Here is a 21,199-nt window from a genome sequence, read left to right on the forward strand (position 1 = left end):
CATCCAAAAGTCTAAATGAAACATGTATTGAAATTTCTAATAAGTGGTCTATTGGTCTTCTTAGATTCTTGTAGTTACTTGTGTGTTTTTAGTTCCTTTAATTTCTTGCTTACCACTTTGGTGATACAAATCATGATACTGATAATTCTATAAACTCTCTGGACATATATTTAAGTAACTATAGCATATTAAGCCAACAAAAGCTAATGGCCTCATATGTCTATATTCATCACTTATTAAAATAATCTGTATTTTCATACTCTGGTATCGCTTCAAATCATATAAATCACCTTTTACTTAATAAAATAATCTGTATTTTCTGTGAAGCTATATAATTCAAATTTAGTAAATTAGATGAACAAATATAAAAATGCCTTTTAGAGTAAATTAACCATTTAATCACTATCTGTAATAGTATTGCACCGGAAAATTTAATCCCATGGTTAATTGTATTGATAATTTTATAAACCTCATTGAAAATTTACGGGTTCAGACACAAATGTATAAATATCACTCTGTATTGTATGTATGCTATGAAAGTGTTTTTTTAAGACATCTTTTTCTTTCTGTGTCTTACCATAGGCTACATATCGAAATCGAATTGTGAGCCAAAATCTCAGCACAAGGGACAGAAAAGCAATACATACTCCCACCGAGGACCGTTTTAGGTATTCGGCAGCGGACCAGACAAGCCCCTACAAAAACAAGACCTGTCAACTCCCAAGTCTCTGTTTAAGTAATTTCCTGAAGGACAAGGAACTAGCAGAAGTTATCAAACATTCAAGAGGAACTTATGAAACCCTCACTTCAGACGTTACACAGAACTTACGGGCCACCGTTGGGCAGAGCTCTCTGAAGCCAACAGCTAAGACAGAAGGGCTCTCCACGTTCTTAGAGAAACCAAAGGACCAAGTTGCTACGGCCCGACAGCATTCGACCTTTACAGGCAGGTTTGGACAGCCACCCAGAGGGCCAATCTCTTTACACATGTACAGCAGGAAGAATGTGTTTCTCCACCACAATTTACACAGCACTGAGCTGCAAACTCTAGGCCAGCAGGATGGGTAATTAAATCACCGTATTCCTGTCTTTGGGTAGGATAAAGATGGTTAGTGTTTCTCGTGCATAGTTCATATTAAAATTGTCATGTACTTTTTCTTACATTTTAGTTATAAACAGAGTTGTGTTGTTGGGTTTTTTTTCTTAGTCATAAACAAAGACTTGTGGGTTTTTTTTTTCCAAGAGTGAAAGTTTGAGCATGTTAATTGAACTAGGTTGCATTGCCTTGAAGACTTTACTATATAGGTGTATAATAAATGGGACCATCATGATCGTTTATATAGTCCATAATTTATTTATTTTTTATCTCTATCACTTACTGATATGCATTAAGGTTTCAGAAGATAATATCAAATAGCAATCTGTTCACTGTTAATGGTGTTACTATAAAAGTAGACCTGATGAAAAATAGATAAAGGAATTATAAAGAATTTTAAATTATATAATTAATAGAAGGAGGAAAAAAGAGAAATGTTAACGTCTTATATTTGGTGGTATATTTATTTGAAGAATGTGGCTTGCTTGCATGTAACCTAGAGATGTGTTTGTCTCTATTACATACATTCAAGCTCATCTTGTGATACTAGTAAGGGGGAAATGGCTGTATTTTTTTTCCTTTAAACGTTTAGTTCATACTAGTTCACAAAGGATTTCAGACAGAGTAATTGCTAGCCAAATAGAGAATGACAGCTCTGATCTTTGAAAAATTTTGCTTTTAGTTTTTGTTATTGATGTTGAAGTACCGTGACATAACACAAGGTGATAAAGTTGGTTGAATTTTGTCAGATGATGCATAAATACTGACATGCTATATTCTTTGAGCCACTGTCATGGCAATATAAACATTTTTTCAAAATTTCAAGGATGAAACATCCTAAGAAAATTATTCTTTTTCTTTACTTTCCTTATTTTTTAAAATGTTCTTTTTTATGTAAATCCAATTTTGGTTTATATACATCAACCCATATCTATAATTTTATGAACTGAAGAACAGAAAGTCAGTATTTTAGTAGCCAGCATACAATATTCTGACTATGCAGAAATCTAGATTTGGAACAAAAGTAAAGTAAATGTGAACATTGGCAATTTAATCTTAGAAATAAGCTTCTAACAGGAATATTTAAAACCCATTTGATGGCAAATATTTCTCTTTGACAAATAAGGCCCAAATATGTTATAATATGTTATATACTTATGTGCACTTTAGATCAATATATGAATTGATCTATGGATAATTCCATCATGTTCAATTAGTAGCAGAGCAGAATCAAAGAGTACAATTGAATACATAAATAAATAATTTTTAAAAGACTAATAGGAATCAAGGCTGCAGTTTTCTTATACACATCAGAGCTGTTAAGTACATCCACATTAGCCATAGTCCATGCAAATTGAAACTGTCATACCTACTGCATGATCTGTTTCCCTTGCATTTTCTAACAGAATCTGTCAGCGTGCACAAGCAAGATGAACAAAGGGAAATTGAGATAGCAGTTTTAGCATGGCATCTGACAACTTGCTTAAATTAAAGCTGTGTGCAAAATGCATCTCCTATTATAAAAATGTATTTGTGCCCTGTGCTTTGGGGAAAAGCCATTAGACACTCCACCCCTGAGCTTTAACTACTGAACTTTGATACATTTGCAAACTTAGATTGGAACTGATAAAGTAAGGAGTCGAGTGGATATGTTGTACTTGTAATTTTGGTTTTCCAAAGGAACACACATGTGCATCAAGGCAGACATTTGCCAAATGTTTTCTTTCTTTGCGTGTTTGTAATTCTGCCAAAAGAGAACAATATACACTGCAAATTGCTTGACTTAATGAGATTGCCATCTAAAGTTCCCACCATACTTTGGAAGCTATAATGATCATGCAGATATACACTTTGGGCTGGGCAATATTTAAGAAATGATAGGAAAATAGAAAAATCATGATTATTAATTGTGGAATTCAGCTTGATTTGTCCTAAATGTTGGTGTCTGTTGCTAGAGTATTTTAAATCTGTACATAAATAAGCATGATAAAATAATCAAGGATTTTTTCCCAGGATATGGAAGAACTATGTATCACAAATAATGTTTTTGATTTGGACTTTTGGAGTTGATAGTTTTGTTTTCCTGGAAGATAGACTTTTGAATTATACTTTATAAAAATAATCTATTTATAGAAGATCTGTCATTTAATAGACATTTTAAGAGATGTTTTAAACGCTAGTATTTTCTTGAAAAATCTTTTTTAAAGCTGAATCATTCAAAAGAAAACCTGGATTAAACAGTTCGATTTTAAAAGGAAGGGTATTTTTTGGAAATATCATCTTAAAGCTGTTTTGTATCAGTATTTTCAACATTGTTATAATATTATTTGTAATACTAAGTGTAACTCAGGCCTGGAGAAGGTGTAAGCCCACTATGCTAATGTACATCAGTAACTGTAAAACAGGGGTTCTTTGTAAGTTCCTCTTGTGTATATATAGTAACTTATAACAATGGCATGTGGGCATTCTTTCAGTGAATTGCTTTCTTTGTACTAAAATCTCTAGTTTTCTAAGACAGTTCCATGTATAAAAATGATTTATGCATTTCTCCAAGGCGGTACATATCCAAAGACATGACACCAGGGGGAAAAAGTGCTTGTTTTTCTGATGGAAGCAGTGGTCTTTTCTTTTCTTTCCTCTTTCTTTTGTGCATGTGTATGTGTAGCTAAGCCTAAATAACCCTGTAAAATTTCTGCTGCAAATTGTCTCTTCTGAATTTAGAATGTGTTTTAAAGGAACACTTAGGAAGAGAAATACCTTGAAGAAAAGCTGTTTCCACCTGAAATAAACTGTTCCCATTTTTATAATTATTGGAACATGAAACTGTATTTCTATGAACTCAATGATTTTTTTCCATAAAATTATATGCTAAGAGAGTCACCACAAAACTATGAATTCTCTCCCGAATTATTTTTGCTTCTTTGGAGCACCATAGTCTTTGTTCAAATCACAACATGAAACTGTTGCTGCAATGCTAAAGATGTGAATCCACCACTATCAATACGGTCAGGGTAAAACCTGGAGCCACATGTTATTCAAGTTATTTTTGTTATCTAATGATTGACATGAAAATAAAATAGTAAGCCAATATTAATTTGTAGGCATAGTTGCCCCACTTAAAGTGTTTACAAAGATTTTCATGATTAATCTGGGTTTATGATTTAATCCTAACTCATTGTCATTATTTCCTGAATGTTGAACTCCCATTATAGGAAATTCCACATTTTGTTTTGTTTTCTTTGTCTTGTTTAATAGAGATAATAACCATACACCCCTCTCCAGAAAAAAGTTTTTAAAAATTATTATGATATATTTAAGATTCACATGCCCAGGATAAATGATTACATTCCACTAGCCCTCTCAAAAACTTTCTTGGCAACTTAGTTGTTGATTAAACAGTAGGAACAGTTTGCTGAATGGTTAGGATTATCTCTGCACATCATTCGTCATCATCAGCTTCTCATTATAAAGAAATAGTAACCCATAGCAGTGGATAATTTGGAATACTTAGCATAATCTCATAATTATAATCTAAATTTTTACTACTTTTTCACTTTCAGAACTTAACATTCTAAACAGCTATAGAAGGAAGTGGTTCAAAATAACCCTAAGATTCCATTGAAACATATACACACAGATGAAACTAGAAAAGAAAGGGCAATACATGTGAAGATGATATCTATGATTGCCATTCATGTTACTGAATCACATGCCCCATAATCAGAAGCTTTTCCCTTATTGATAATATTAGCTCAAATGTAGCACCCATTCATTTATACCAGGATTTTGATTGCTATCTAAGACTTGACTTTATTTAGGCATTATTATCAGATCCTGTTATGTATTTTCATATGCATATATATATTTTTGTATAAGAAGTATTTCAATCACATGTAATATTCTTGGGAAATTTACCTCTCCTAGAGTTTAAGCTTTTTAAAACATGTCTTGTTTCTTTCTCATGTGGTAAATTTATCATGACAACTCTAGGCTGTAGAAGGCGTAATATAAAATACAAACTAGTTTTGGTTCTTATAAAAGGCTGATTTCAGTTAAGACTGGTCATTTTTTTAAAAAGCTGAATTACACTGTAGTATAAAAGCAAACAGTCAACTAAGCAACCAAACAAAACAGCTCTCTTCTTTAATAATATTCATCATTGCCAAATGTTTATTTTTGAAATTTTGTTCTGTGCCAACTTGTTTCACCATGTTAAACTGCATACATACCCATGAACTATTTATTTACAATACATTTGATCTCGTTAAGACCCCAGTTCTATTTCCAAGGCATGCAGCCCAAAACCAAAAAGTTAAAAGATGATAACACTCTGTGGTTGAATTACCTATGGAAAAGAATGAAGGCAGTTCACTCTGTTTAAGATGTGGAGAATTTCCTACAAATAGTTAAGGTGAAATAAAATCATTAATAGAGAGTAGGTTCCTTCCATTTGAGTAAGTGATCTAGAATATGGGATACCACGGTTCTTTTTAGAGCATTTTCAGTGTAGCCTCATTAACTTCTCCAATTTAATACGACATACATACTTCTTCCACCTGAACATAAAATTCAAGAATAGGAGCATCCTACATCTTTCATTCTTTCCAAACATTACCTCTTTAGTAAATTCGGGTTGCTATAACAAAATACCATGGACTGGGTGACTAAACAACAGTCACTTGTGTCTCAAGTTCTGGAGGCTAGGAAGTCTAAGATTAGGGTGGGGCAGAATAAATTATTGGTGAGGATCTGCTTCCTGATTTGCATGTTGGAGAAAGGGCTCTGGCCTCTTCCTCTTCTAATAACTACAATAATTTCATCATGGGGGCCCCACCCTCATAATCTCATCTAAACCTAATTACTTCCCAAGCGCCCCAACTTCAAGCACCATCACACTGGGGGTTAGGGCTTCAACATATGAATTTGGGGGGGGATATAAAAATTTAGTTTATAGCACTCATTTTCAGGTCAAAGAGCCCACTTCCCTAATCACATACTTCAATAACTAGTTAGGTAATTATTGTTTTACTCTTTTGTAGATTAGATCAGAGACATTAGGTAACTTGTCCAGGACACACAACATGCATTTTTAATTAAATTGGATTTAATAACCCTTGAACTTTCCATTTATATCATGCTTATCTCCAGAATAGGATCTCTCCTAAGGAGGCAGAGTGATTTAAACAAACATGTGCTGCTTCAATCTCCTTTACTCCTAAACTTCCATTGATATTGCTAGGGACAAAAAATTAAGCAATGATCTATTTTAGGAAATCAAAATACTGTTCATTGAAAAGCAGTTTTAAAACAATTATTGACATTTAATAAATACAGAATTTTCAGAGGGCATCTCTTCTATTTCAAGGTTACCTCCCAGAAAAACTGACATTCTAATTTTCTTCTCTTGAAAGCAATTAGAAAAAATGCTAAGAAATGATTTTATATTTTTTAAAGTAGAGGGCCAATGAAGTGTCTAACAAAAGGAAAGCATACAGTAAATGAAAAATAAACTAGTTATCAGATTGTCTTATATCTTTCCTTCATAGGACATTGATACAGACATCATCAAATTCCTGTTTGTATTGCCTTATACATACTTAAAAAACAAGATATTTACAAAAATATTTTAGATATTCCTGTCTAGGAACTAAAATTACAGCTGATTTAGAATTTGCTTAATTATTCAGAAGGAATTGAAGTGAAATGAGGAATACAAATTTACTTGTCCTAAATTTTTAAATAAAATGTATTATATTTTGTAGTCAATTATATATACCAAAATAATGTCTGAATAAGACGTAATCCTGTCATGAGTTCTCTCTTCCAAAAAAGAATGCAAGAGAATTGATTATCTTAGTTAGACCCCATTTTTAAGGAAAAAATACACCCTGTATGATACATTCTTAGATATATGGGTTTGAGATTATTAACATTGATAATAGTTTTTTTAATTCATCATCTCTAAAACTCTAAAACTTTAGTGAGAAAGATAATAAATAGAAAATTACCCTGGAAATTAAAATTTTTAGCAATATTGAATACAGTAGTATAATTTTTTGTGGCTCTTGATTTCCTAAGAAAAATAGTGATTTTTATTTAATGAAAATTTCTCAATTTGGTTAATATTCTAAGAAAAGATTGATATATTTAAGCATGGTGATTAGAAAAATATGCATATTTCCTGCTCATAATAAATTTTAAAACAACAAATTAGTTGTGTGGTACCTGATTGCTTTCAATATGACATTAATTTGTTTTGAACTTGTCTTGATGATAGATTGAGTTACACATGCATTCATATTGGGCATAAAGCATTGTGATTTACTTCTAGGTTCTTGAGGGTTGTGACAATTGGAAAATGACAAATCAGCCACTTATTTCATCAGCTAGTTGACACAATTTATATTTCTACTTTCCTCACCATCAGGCTTTTTAAAATTTCTGATATATAGCAATACTATGCAATGGTCCCCAGGGACCATTAGAAGAATATACTGCTATATTTAATGTCAATAGATCTATAATATAGTATAAAAATGCTATACTATTTTTATCTTCATTTATTAAAACTCATTACAATTCAAAATTCAAAATATATTTCACACCATTTTGACTTTGTAGTTTAAGAAACCCTGTGACAGCACAAAAATGCAATTTTTTTTTCTAAGTTCCCTGTCTTTATCAACACGCACACACACCCTTGGAGTTTTAAAAACTGGTAGAAGATGGATGATTCAGTACAGTTACTGAAGCATTCGAAATGATACACGTATATGTTTCCATTTGGCATCCAAACTGGCCAACAGGGAAGAACATACAGTTAAAATGCTCCTGCAATGCCTCGAAAATACACTCCAACATCTTGTGTTTACAGGGCCTCACAGCTTCACAGTAAATAGTGTTCTTCTGCAGTGTACTTTCATATAATGCAATTTAAATAAGCTGAAACAAAGCATTATGGTATATTTTATAATTTATAATTAATGTGATGTTATAGTTTAAGAATCAAGCCATTTTCCTGATGATAGGAAGAATTATTTTTAATTCTAAACTTTATTTTCTATAAAGCATGTCAATAAGCAATGTATATGTTTTTTCTATTATATTACTGAAGGTGTTAAACTTTAGAGTTGTTTTGAAGACTTTATGAGAACTCAAACTCTATTTCTGGAATTTATTGGTTTATTTTAAAAACCCTTTGATTATAATTATAATCAATCAACACTTTTGTAGATTAATTATGTGGATATTTCTCTCTTAAATTTCAGTCATGAAACAGTAGTTTTAAAATGTTTAAAATGAAATATTGATGTATCTAGTACTTACTATTCATATATTCTTTCAAATATCCTCATTTTTTATCTTATTTTAAGTGACTCTTGCATATCTCATTCCCTTTTATGGTTCTTACTTCTCTAATATAGCAAATGCTTTGACATTTGTAGTGATATTATCAGTTGAACAGGTATCATAGCATTTTATGTACAGAAATGACACAAGTGAATATTACAGTTTAAGGGGGATTTAAAGTTCTAATCACTTTTCAGAAGATGTTTGTGAAAAGTGAGAACCAACTTTTAGATAGAAAGTTATTTGAGTTATTACTTTATCCAAGTGTAATGTTTGATTTAGTTTCATTTGTAGGCCTTTACCCAAAATTTAACAATAAGAAAGAATATTGCTTTATTTTAAAACACTACTTATATTACACTGGTAGTCATATGACCAAAATCTAAAAATATCAAAATAATAGGATGTTAAGAGGTGCTTCTGAATTCTGTGGATCCAACATTATATATTTTCCATTAAAGAAGAGCTGGAAAGAAAGGGAAATATACATGTAAACCCAGTCTTGAATTCTTCTGGTGAAGAATGAAATGTGACCATAACCTGTAAATTTGAGCTGCTATCATTTTTCAACTAAATGGCTGATTTTAAAGAGTCTATATTAGGTCAGATGCTGGCCAAAGTTTTATCTTCATACAAACAGACCAGATAGCTTAAGAGTGGACCTGACATCTTTAGACCGAAACAAATACCTCTTAGTCGATTTGATAAAGCTGTAGCACCATCTTACCAGCCATCATCACTGTTTTGTTTATAAGTTCTATCATGAGAATATTATATTGGTAAAGAGAACATGGCTGGGCCTGGGAAACATGGGGAAACCCCATCTCTATAAAGAAAAAAAAAATTAGCCAAGTGTGGTGGCATACACCTGTAGTCCCAACAACTTGGGAGGCTGAGGCAGGAGCATTGCCGGAGCCCAGGAAGTCCAGGTGGCAGTGAGCCGAGATGGCATGACTGCACTCCAGCCTGGGCAACAGAGAGAGATCTGATCTCAAAAAAATGAAAAAAGAAAATACGGCTCATTTGCAGAGGCTTTCATGTCTCCAAAAGCTGCAAATTTAGATATTTTAAGCCATATATTCAAGGGTTGTTGTTCATGTAGAAAGTAAAATGAAGAGTGGCATTTACAATCACCTAAGAATAGATGTTGTGTGGTGGGATTATCACATATGTTGTTGAAATTCAATTCCAAATTGTAATGTAAAAGTTGGAGAGCCAATTGAAAGTATTAGTAGAACACAGGAAGTTGATACAGGATATTTCCAGATCAACTGAGACAAATCAACATCTGATTATTCAGTGAGAATAATATCAACCCATGCTTTCAGACACAAGAGCTGAATGTGAAGGGTTTTGGAAGAATCTTTTCATAACGAAGCCCAGAAACTGATGAAGCCATTCACATAAACTCATTCATATGACAGGTAAGCTCATTACATAGCTCTAGGCAATCACGCTGTTGCATTTGAGGTAAAATTGGAGTTACTGTAAATATGCAATTTGGTTTCATCCTAAAGAGGCTTATACTAATCTTTCAAAGGATGTTGTACAAACACTTCTTAGAAAGGAACTGTCTACCTTATTGGAAATATGGATTCAAATATATATACTGTGAATCACCCAACTGTAGAAGGTGATTATACACTTTCCCAAGATATTTGATGAATTGTAAGGGACTTGGAAATGTGGTTAGGAAAGGAGGAATTTGTATCATTGTTCTTAAAAGCAATAACATAAATTGTAGAATTATGGTCTAGTCAAACACTGTGCCCTTAAAGCAGTCACATATGTCCATTTGTGGTAGCTCTAAAACATGTTGGAGAAATGAATCTGAAAATATTCTGTGAATAGAGCAGTTGAAGACAGCTTAATGTCTGAGTTCAAACTCCATCTGACAATTTCTTGTCGTGTGCCCTTGGAGCATTTTTTATCTCCATTTTTCCTTCTATGAAATGGGATAATAATGGGATACCTTATATGATTTTCATGAAGACTGAAAAATAGGGCCTATCACAGACTAAGAAGAATTTAGATGCTTCATCAATCACTTACCACTCAATCAATCATTTGCCTTTCCTAGTAAGTGGGAATTCTTTGAAGCATTTGGCTTTCTCCAAGTTTATCAACCCATGAGCACTGATGATGCTATCATAGAAAAAACTAAGAGAAATCCCTAGAAAAATATCAAAAATTCTATAATCTCTGAAATTTTCAAATTTTTCACGAGTGTTTTTTTAGTATTTCATGATTAAAACACTGTTTTGATAATGAATGGATTTGCACAAAGACTTCTGAAATTTCTGTATTCTTTTAAAAAATGAAAACTTATCTTTAGTATCAAGTTCTTTGGTTACCATATAATGTTTCACTAATGTTTATCTTGCTGAAGATAATGTTGCTTCCAAACATGGGGAGCCTACCACATGTTTAAAACAAAAATGTTTCAAGCTTTTACAGAGCTATTTATTTTTTACTATGTTTTGTTTCATACACACAGAAAAACATTTCCTGTTCTGAAACTGCTTCATTATCTATTAAAAACAAAACTCATGAGAATGCTTGCTGAAGTGTTAGTAACTTACTGACTTTAAAGAGTACCATAGTATATAACAATGACCAAAAGCCACTGTCTCTTAACAGTATGTTGTGCTTTAGCTGACTACTAGAAAGGTAAAATGTAATAGCAAAGATTTTGGCCATTGTATTTATTATATTGCATTTTAAAGAGTCAGGGTGTTCCAATTCTATTTCTCCAATAGTCCTTTAATGAAATAGCAGTCTTATAAATCACCTCTCATTAGGCTTTCTCTCTGTGTGCATGGAATCCTTAAAGCTTACATTAGTAATAATAAATTCTGAAATTTCCACTAAAAGTTCTGATGTTGGAAGTCTTCCTAATCTATACTTTGAGTAGGCAAAATGACAATTGAACATAGGATTTAAAATTAATAGGGTTGCAGTCACTCAGAGGAATGATCTACACTATAAAAATCTATCCTTTTTTAAGAATTAAGGACAACTTTAGTATTCCTGAATAAAACCATTCTGTTAACTTTATTACATTACATGAATAATCAGCTTTGTTCATGCATTTATGCGACCCACGTTTATGCTGGTTACCTACCATCTGCCAAATAGTGTGATCTGCACTTAGGGTGCAAAACAGAACAATAATTAACCTATATTTAAGTGTTTTACATATATACACATGTATATATATGTATATAATCCACACACAGTGAATAGAAGCTTTGTCTAGTAGCTGAAATAAATTTTTATTAATTGTAATAATGCCTAACAATTACTGAGTGATGTTCTGTACAGGTAGGCACTATATTAGATACTTTACATAAGTTTTTTTAATCTAATCTCACAAGAAGGCTTTGGGTAAATATTCATATTATTATTCCTATTTTGCCTTTGGGAACAATAAAAATTAGGAAGTTGTCCCAAGTCACACAGCCAGTAGGAGGTACAGATGACTGTTATATCAAACTGTGCTATTCTATATTAACATAGAACAGAGCAAAATTATTTCTTCCAGAGTTATTAAGAAAGGTTTGTAAATAATCTGTGCAGACATTTTACACTTGAAACAGAATTTTGAGATGGAAAAATAGGACAATTATGAGTTATCCTAAGGTACTTTACCTACTAGCATAGAAACCTATGGACATTGAATATGGAATTTAGACTGATAGAGCAGTGAATTCCAGCTGTATACATTACTGGTTATATAAACTTGGCAAAATTGTTGATTTGTATATATCTTAACTTTTCTGACACGTAAAATTGTGGCTAATAATTTCTACCACAAAAATTTACTTTAAAGATTAATTTCGATAATATAGATGAAAGAACATCACAATAGCTTACAGGTCATTTATGATCCTTCTAATTCATTTTTTCCACTCTCTTTGTTCTACAAAATTAGCATGGGTTCTCAGGCAATTAGGAACGTATATGACTTTGGCAATTCTTATGAAGCAGCCTTAACCAAGCACTTTATTTCATTTATTTGGAATATCCCCCATTAGGTATAAATGTGCAAGAATTTTGTGGTATTCTCAAACTGACTCCTGGAAGCAATTAAGAAATTTGCTGAAGATAAGGTTCACAGGAGTGATAGCAGGGAGAGTGTTAGGGCTATAATTGCTGGGCCAATTCACTTATAATTAACTTAGTATTAAAAGGTTAGCTCTGTAGTCAGAATAATCTTATTGCAAGTTGTCCTAACTGTACAATAATTCTAGAAATTTTGAGAGAACTCAAGGTTACCAAGCACATCTCATAAGATTATTGCAAACTTGTTTTTAAAACTAGGGGTAGGAACAATATAAAAAGAGAAACTCATAGACCCATTTTCTTTCTTTCTTTCTCCCTCTCTCCCTCTCTCTCTCTTTTTTTTCTTTTTTGAGATGAAGTCTCACTCTGTCGCCCAGGCTGGAGTGCAGTGGCATGATCTCGGATCTCAGCTCACTGCAACCTCTGCCTCCCAGGTTCAAGTGATTCTCCTGTCTCAGCCTCCTGAGTAGCTGGAACTACAGATGTGCACCACCACACCCGGCTAATTTTTGTATTATTAGTAGAGACAGGGTTTCACCATATTGGCCAGGCTGGTCTCGAACTCCTGACCTTGTGATACACCCGCCTCAGCCTCCCAAAGTGCTGAGATTACAGGCAGGAGCCACTCCGCTCGGCCACCACAGACCCATTTTTTAATGAATATACAAAAATAATTCCAAAGAAAGTATTACACAACTGCACCAACATTAAACAGAATATATCATAATCATATAGGGCTCATACCAAGAGTTCATAGATGACTAACATAAAAAATAAATGTGATCCATAATAAAAACATTAAAGAAAAAACTCATAATTATTTCAATTGGTATCTTAAAAAGGCTTTGATAATGACTAGCCCATATTTATCACAAAAACCATAACTAATTTAGAATTGATTGAATTTGTAAGGGTTATATACTAAAGTCCTACTTTAAAATATGATGGACTGTCTGTTCTAGCTCCAACTTATAAAGATCTTGGAAATAATCATTCCCATCCTTACAACAAGGGAAAGCTAAACAATCTGAAAATCAATGACTTTTCTTGGGCCGAGAGCAAGACAACTAGGTTGCAAGTCAAACAACAACTCTGTAATATGGTAAGCCTCAGATCCGAAGAGTCATAGCCAAGATTCCCTTACCCAGAGAAGACACCACTGAAGATATAAACTGGTAGGATCACTTAGATAGTAATTTTAATGAACTGCTGGGGTTTGATACTGAACTAGAGTAAGAGTGAGAAACTCACCGGACCACAGTTTTGTGAGTATCCCACACTTTTGTGTATTTTTTATCCAGGAAACCCACAAGGCTCTTGTGACAAAGATCCAAGAATTACCTCCTCCTCTCTACGACTAGAAGAGAGGAATAATAACCATTGTAAAATATTCCCAGAGCATTCTACTTAACAAAAGCCTGCCCCTCCAGGGAAAAGACTTTACTGGAAACATCCCATCTGGGGGAAGGGCATTTCTCTCACTCCAGCTCATTCTGGCTTTTTTGTCTCACTAAAGAGGTGGAAGTTGAGACAAACTTGTGAAGGTCCTGATCCCGAAACAAAGGACGGAGATTTTATCGTAAGATTTTAGAAGGCTTCCTCACTCTTCCGATTTACTACTACACCAACAGGGCTCCAATAGAACAATGGCTTATGGCTGAAATTGCTGCAAGATTTAGAGTCTCTGAAGGGAAGTGCTTAAGAAAATAAAAGTTAATAAATGAGACAAAAAAGGAGACTAGAGGACTATTAAGCATCTACCTCCTATAGCTACAGAAAATGATAAACACAGGCCAACTCCTAGATAAGTTAACATAAAACCTCACACTATTTACCTTAATTTTTATTATCGGATACATCATGTTTGGCTTTCAGCAAAAAAAATTAAGCATACTTAAAGGCAAGAGAAAAACATAGTCTGAAGAGACAAAGAAGGTATCAGAATGAGACTCAGATATAACACATATTTTGGAATTATTGGACAACAAATTTAAAATAACTTATCAATATGTTAAAGTCTCTAGTCGAGTAAGTAGATAACCTTCAAGGACAGATGGATAATGTAAGCAGAGATATGGAAACTAAAAAAAAATAAAAATAAAAAGATTCAAAAGAAAATGCTAAAAATAAAACACATTGTAACAGAAATAGAGAATGTGTAGGGTGAGCTCATCAGTAGACTGGACATAGTCAAGGAGAGCATCAGTGAGCATGACAGCAAGTCAACAGGAACTTCCCAAGCTGAAATGCAAAGAGACAAAAAATAGAATAAATAGAAACTGAGTACAACACCCAAGAACTGTGGGAAAATTTCAAAAGATATGAGACATGTGTAATATGTTCAAGGAGGAAAAAGAGAAATGAAACAGGCGAGAATGATGGCAAACTAGGAGACATTAGCCTTCATCTTCCTAGAAAAAAAAAAAAATAGAAAGCTATCCGAGAACAGAATTAGCCCCGAGAAGGCTCAAAAGTCCAATTAAGAATCTTCAGCAACACAATGGAGCAAAAAATGGACAATGGCAGCATAAAAAGGATCACGGGGAAGATAAGCATACCTGAGATGTCTAGTGACACCTAGAAACAAAGAAGGGAAGGGGTTATCCATAGCAGCCACATGGCAGCTGCCACCACAGTCCTTAGTAACCTGTTGTGCAGAGGATCCCAGCAGTCATTGCCACTAAGGATCTCAACAACAGCTATGGAAGCCACAGACTCCCACAGCTTTCACAACAGAGCTCTACTTCAGTGGAGTGCTCTGCAGAGGATACTGGGAGCTTTAGGAACTGAGGTAACCAACAATCATCACCAGCATAGGCCCCCTAAAAATGAAGATGCTGCTGCACCACCCAACAGAAGTGAGCTGCTATTGCACCATCCAGGGACTAGGGCTACACTGCCCCTCCCAATGCACACTCTGAATTCTGAAGCCATGGTGGATCTGCACACACATACCCCAGACCCCAGCTCTGTATGGCACTCTATGAGTGCCTTTGCCTCAGACATCACAGCTACTGCCAGAGGGTACTAGCCTGCACTCTGATACCTGGAGCTCCTGTCTCTCTACATGTGCCCAAGCTCCAGACTCCAGTTCTGAGGTCACTCTGCACATGCCTGTGCCTCCAGTTCCTGACTCTGCAGCCACTGAGAGTCAGTCTGTGTCTAGGACACTGGAGCCATGGCTGCAGTGGGAACTTCTGTACTCTAGACCCTGGAGACATTGTACATATGCTTGTGCCCACAGTTTCAAACCCAGCTGCCTAGCTGTTCCACAAGCAACCCCACCTTGCACACCGTTACCAATGACACAGTGAGAGTGCCTGCATGTTAAGAATTAGTGTCACCACTGGCCTGAGCCCTAGAGCTGAAGTTCCTCCATGTGCATTCACACTCCAGACCCCAGTTCTGTGGCCACTCCACAGAGATCACATATCAGACACCAGTAACATCACCATTGCAAGTGTGTCTGAAAACCAGACTCAGCACCAAACGGGATCCCCTTAGCCACAACTTCCCTTGCAGAAGAAACAAAATACTCATGACACCAGCAGCTGTAGATGCTGCTGCAGATATTCATAGCCTTGGCCACTGAAGACATCTGCAAATTTTTATTGACACTGATGACGCTTAACAAAAAGTGCACTATTGTGCCATTACTGAAGCAAGAACTGGTGCATCCCATTCAGTCGGCACCCTCACTTTCACTCATAAGCAGGTGAAAATTGTCCATTAAATCTGGAGAAGGTTACTGTTACATCAAATGTGCAGACATCAATGTAAGCAACAACAACAACAAAAAAAAACATAAAAATCAAGGAACTATGACACCACCAAAGGAGGACAATAATTTTCTAGTAATTGACCCACAGAAATGAGTATCTGCAAATTGCTGGACAAAAAGTTCAAAATATTTTAAAATAAAGTACAGAGAGCTGCAGGAGAGTGCAGATAGACAACTCAACTGTATCAGGAAAACAATACATGGAAAAAATAAGGTCAACAAAAGAGATAAGAAAAGAAACAAATTCTGGAGCTAAAGAATCAATGAATTATATAAAATGCAATAGGAAACATCAACCATCAGAACAAAGAGTCTGTGAAGTTAAAGACAGACCACTTTAAATTAGTCAGAGAAAGAAAAAAAATGTAACAAACAAAAATAATAGAAAGGGAAAAGAATGTGAAAGAGTGAAGAAAGTCTATGGCATATATGGAACCTCATCATATGCCCCAGTATACAAATACTGGGAACAAGAAAAAAAGGAAGAGCAAAAAAAAAAAAAAAAAAAAATGGCAGAAAGCTTACTTAATGAAATAATGGCTGAAAATTGTCCAAATCTGAGAAGACATATGGACATCTAGATATATTAAAAACAAATATTTATAAACAAAGTAAAGCCAAATATATCTTCTCTGAGACACACTATAATCAAACTGTCAAAAATTAAAGACCAAAGATAGAATTTTTGAAGCATCAAGAAAAGAGATTTATCATATATAAAGGAAACTCCAGAATGCTTTCTGCCAATTTCTCAGCAGAAACCTTGCAGCTTGAAGCCTTCACCAGAAGCAGATCCTGAGGCCATGCTGTTTGTATAGCTTGTAGAATCATTAGCCAAATAAATCTCTTTTCTTTATAAATTACTCAGCCTCAGGTATTTCTTTAAAGCAAAATAAAATGGACTAAGATAGGCATAAATTTAACCAAAAAGGTAAAAGTTCTGTACACTGAAAATTGTTACTGTTAGTTTATACTGACTTAATCTTCTTACTGATTATTGATTCTGTGATATCAGTTGTAATGTTTCCTCTTTCATTCAGATTTTATTTATTTGAGTCTTTTGGCAAGACCTAGACTCCAATAAGTCACTTTCCCAAATGCCTCATATCTTGATACTATCATCTTGGGGTTTAAGTTCCAAAATATGGATTTTAGAGTGCCACATACATTCAAACTGTAGAGTATGTGGAATTTAACAAAAAGGTGAACTCATAAAAACAGGGAGTAGAATGATGGTTATCTAAAATTAATGATACTATACTTCAGATTCAGGAGGCTCACAGAACACCAAGTAGTACAAATTTATTTAAAATTGTATAGCTAGACATATAATATTCTTAATAAATTTGAAAGATAACTTTTTTAAAAGAAGCAATAGTAACATTGTAAATGGTGATGTTTGACATGGCATTTATTGGTGAAATATGTTGAATCATCAACCAGGATAGACAAGCTGTTAATTTTCAGTTTATTATCCAAATTTTCTTCAGCATCACATAATACGTCATGAGTATGTTGACTTATTATACTATTTGAGAAACAACTTTTCAACTTGTCATACTGCATCTCATTCAACATTTTAGTCAGTATAATTTTGTATGGTGACATTATTAGTCTCATACCAATGATATGCCTGTTTGTTATCTTGGTGATAAACTCTGCTACTAAATACCTTGTATTTTGTAGCTTTTTATTTAATTTGTGGGGTTTTTTTTCAAAAATAAGGACTTCACTGTGCTTGTTTAAATAGTAAAATAGCCCCTTAAGAAAACATGAACAGACCAATAATGAGTAATGAGATCAAAGCAGTAATTAACTTTCCTTTCAAAGAAAAGCTCAGAATCTGATGGCTTCACAGCTGAAATCTACCAAATATTTTAAAAAGAATGAATACTATTTCTATTCACACTATTATTAAAAAATTAAAGAAGAGGCACTATTTTTAAACTCATTCTATGAAGCTAGCATCACCCTGATACCAAAATCAGACATGGATAAAACAAAGAAAGAGAGCTACAGGCCAATGTCCCTGATGAACATAGATGCAAACATCCCAATAAAATGCTAGAAAACTGAATTCAACAACATATTGAATTGAACAACACATTCACCATAATCAAGTGGATTCATCCCAAGGATGCAAGAATGTTTCAACAAATGCAAATCAATAAATACAACATTTTACATTAACAGAATCAAGGACAAAAACCATATAATCATTTCAATAAATACTGAGAGAGCATTTGACAAAATTCAACATCCATTTGTGATAAAAAAAAAAAAAGTCTCAACAAACTGGGTACAGAAGGAAAAAACTCAAAAACAAAACAAAACAAATAAAGGCCATGAATGAGAAATCCACAGCTAAGATCATATGGGGAAAATTGGAAACCTTCTCTCTAAGATCTGGGACAAAACAAAGATGTTCACTTTTACTCAGCTTAGTACTGGAAGTCCTAACCAGATCAATCAGGAATAAGAAAAAAATAAAGGACATCCAGATTGGACAGGAAGAACTGAAACTATCCTTGTTAACAGATGGCATGATCTTATATTTAGAAAAACCTAAAGATTCCACCAACAAAAAAAAACTCTATTATAACTGATAGACAAATTCAGTAAAGTTGCAGGATACAAAATCAACATAACAGAATCAGCAGCATTTACGTATGCCAACAGCTAACAATCTGAAAAAGTATTCAAGAAAGTAATCCAGTTTGTAATAGCTACAGAAAAAATACCTAGAAATAAATTTAACAAAAGAAGTGAAAAATCCTTACAAGGAATATTCAAAACACTGATGAAAGAAAGTAAGGAGGACACACCAAAATGCAATGATATCCACACTTATGAATTGGGAGCATTAATAGTTAAAATGACAGTAATACTCAAAGTTACTTACAAATTCAATGCAAATCCTATCAAAACACTAATGATTCTTCACTGAAATAAAAAATCAATCATAAAATTCATATGGAACCACAAAAGACCCAGAATAACCAAAGCAATCTTCAGCAAAAAGAACAAAGCTGAAGGCATCATGCTACCTTCAAAATATGCTACAAAGCCGTTGTAATTCAGGCAGCATGGTGCTGGAATAAAAACAGACATGTGGACCAATGGAACAGAATAGAGAACCTAGAGATAAATTCACACATTTTCAGCCAACTTGTTTTTGACAAAGGCACCAAAAACCTACATTGTAGAAAAGACAGTCCCTACGATAAACGGTGCTGGGAAAACTGGATAAATGTATGTAGATGTATATGAAGCTAGACCCTATGTCTCATCATATAAAAATCTAATCAAAATTTATTAAAGCCTTAATATAAGCCTTGAAATTATGAAACTACCAGAATAAAACATTTAGGAAACACTAGGGCATTGGTCTGGGCAAAGATTTTTGGGTGAGACCTCAAAAGCACAGGCAACAAAAACAAAAATACACAAATGGGATTACATCAAGCTAATGTATTGCCAAGGATATAATCAACAAAGTGAAGAGACAACTCAGAGTGGGAGAAAATATTTGCAAACTATCGTCTGACAATGGTTTAATAACCAGAATATTTAAGAAAACAACTCAACCGCAGAAAAATAAATAATCCAATTAAAAATGAACAAAAGATCTGAACATTCATTTCTCAAAAGAGGACATACAAATAGCTAAAAGTTATGTGAACAAATGCTCTATATCACTAATCACCAGGGAAATGCAAATCAAAACCACACTGACATATTATCTTACCTTTTTTAGAATAGCTAATATTAAAAAGATGAAAAACTAACTGATGCTGGTGAGGATGTGGAGAAAATAGAACTCTTGTACACTGTTGGTGGGAATGTAAGTTAGTACATTAGTACATAGTGACTCTCATGGAAAACAGTATGGAGATTTCTTACAAAACTAAAAATAGAAGTTTTATATGATCTAGCAATCCTGGTACTGGATATTTATCCAAAGGAAAAGAAATCAGTGCATCAAAAAGATACCTGCACCCACATGTTTATTGCATCACTATTGTGTTCATCAACAGATGAATGAACAAAGAAAATGTGCTGTATATACAACACTGAATATAACTTAGCCATAAAAAGAATAAAACTCTGTCATTTGCAGCAACATGAATGGAACTGGAGGTTATTACATTAACCGAAGTAAGCCTGGCACAGAAAGACACATACCACGTGTTCTTACTCATATGTGGAAGCTAAAAATGTGGATCTTTGCAGAAAGTTGATTGGTGGTTAACAGGCAGAGAAGCGTGGGAGAAAAGGGAGAAGAAGAGTGGTTGGTCAATAGATACAAAGATACAATTACATAGAAGAAATAAAGTCTATTGTTTGATAGTATAGTAAATGGGCAATTATAGTTAACATACCTCCCCTCCAGCAAAAACATAATTTGTTGCATAGTCAAAATGCTGGAGGCGGGGTATTGGAATGTTCGCAACATAAAGGTGTGAATGTTTGGTGAGATGAATGTTTCAATTGCCCTGGTTTGATCATTACACATTGCATGCATATATCAAAATACCAATGTGTCCCAGAAATATGTACAACTATTATGCATCAATTCTAAAAAAGAAATAAGCACTTTTAATTGTCAAATGCCTGTGACTTGTGGTTGAGTGTGATTTCTACTCTTCTAGAGTCATGTTGCATTTGTATGTTGTTTCTCACATACAGCACATAATGGAATAGTATAATTTGGATTATCATCCCTTCTCATGCAATATCCACTCATAGGTTGCTTTCACTATGAACATGTTATTTTTAGTGTATGTCCCTTGTATCACTAGTGCAGTGAAATGACTCAGAAGATTTTAATTCTTCATAATTAATTTTCTAAATAAGAACTTTATTGGGATATAATTCACATACCATAAAATTCAACACTTTAAAGT

At 33.8% G+C, this 21,199-nt stretch overlaps 1 protein-coding gene across 8 annotated transcripts in view; it reads left to right on the forward strand.

Annotated features, from left to right (window-relative positions):
* CCSER1 (coiled-coil serine rich protein 1) overlaps positions 1 to 7,306 on the forward strand; it is a 1,477,902-nt gene extending 1,470,596 nt beyond the window's left edge. For all 8 annotated transcript variants that reach the window (XM_011531936.2, NM_001145065.2, XM_047415679.1 and 5 more), the window contains one exon: positions 583 to 7,306. In XM_011531936.2, the coding sequence (XP_011530238.1) occupies positions 583 to 1,068 (486 nt within the window). In that variant the 3' untranslated portion in view covers positions 1,069 to 7,306. The remainder of the gene's footprint in view (positions 1 to 582) is intronic.
* The last annotated feature ends 13,893 nt before the right edge of the window (positions 7,307 to 21,199 follow it).

The sequence above is a fragment of the Homo sapiens genome, chromosome 4, assembly GCF_000001405.40.
Source record: "Homo sapiens chromosome 4, GRCh38.p14 Primary Assembly".
NCBI classification, from domain to species: Eukaryota; Metazoa; Chordata; class Mammalia; order Primates; family Hominidae; genus Homo; species Homo sapiens.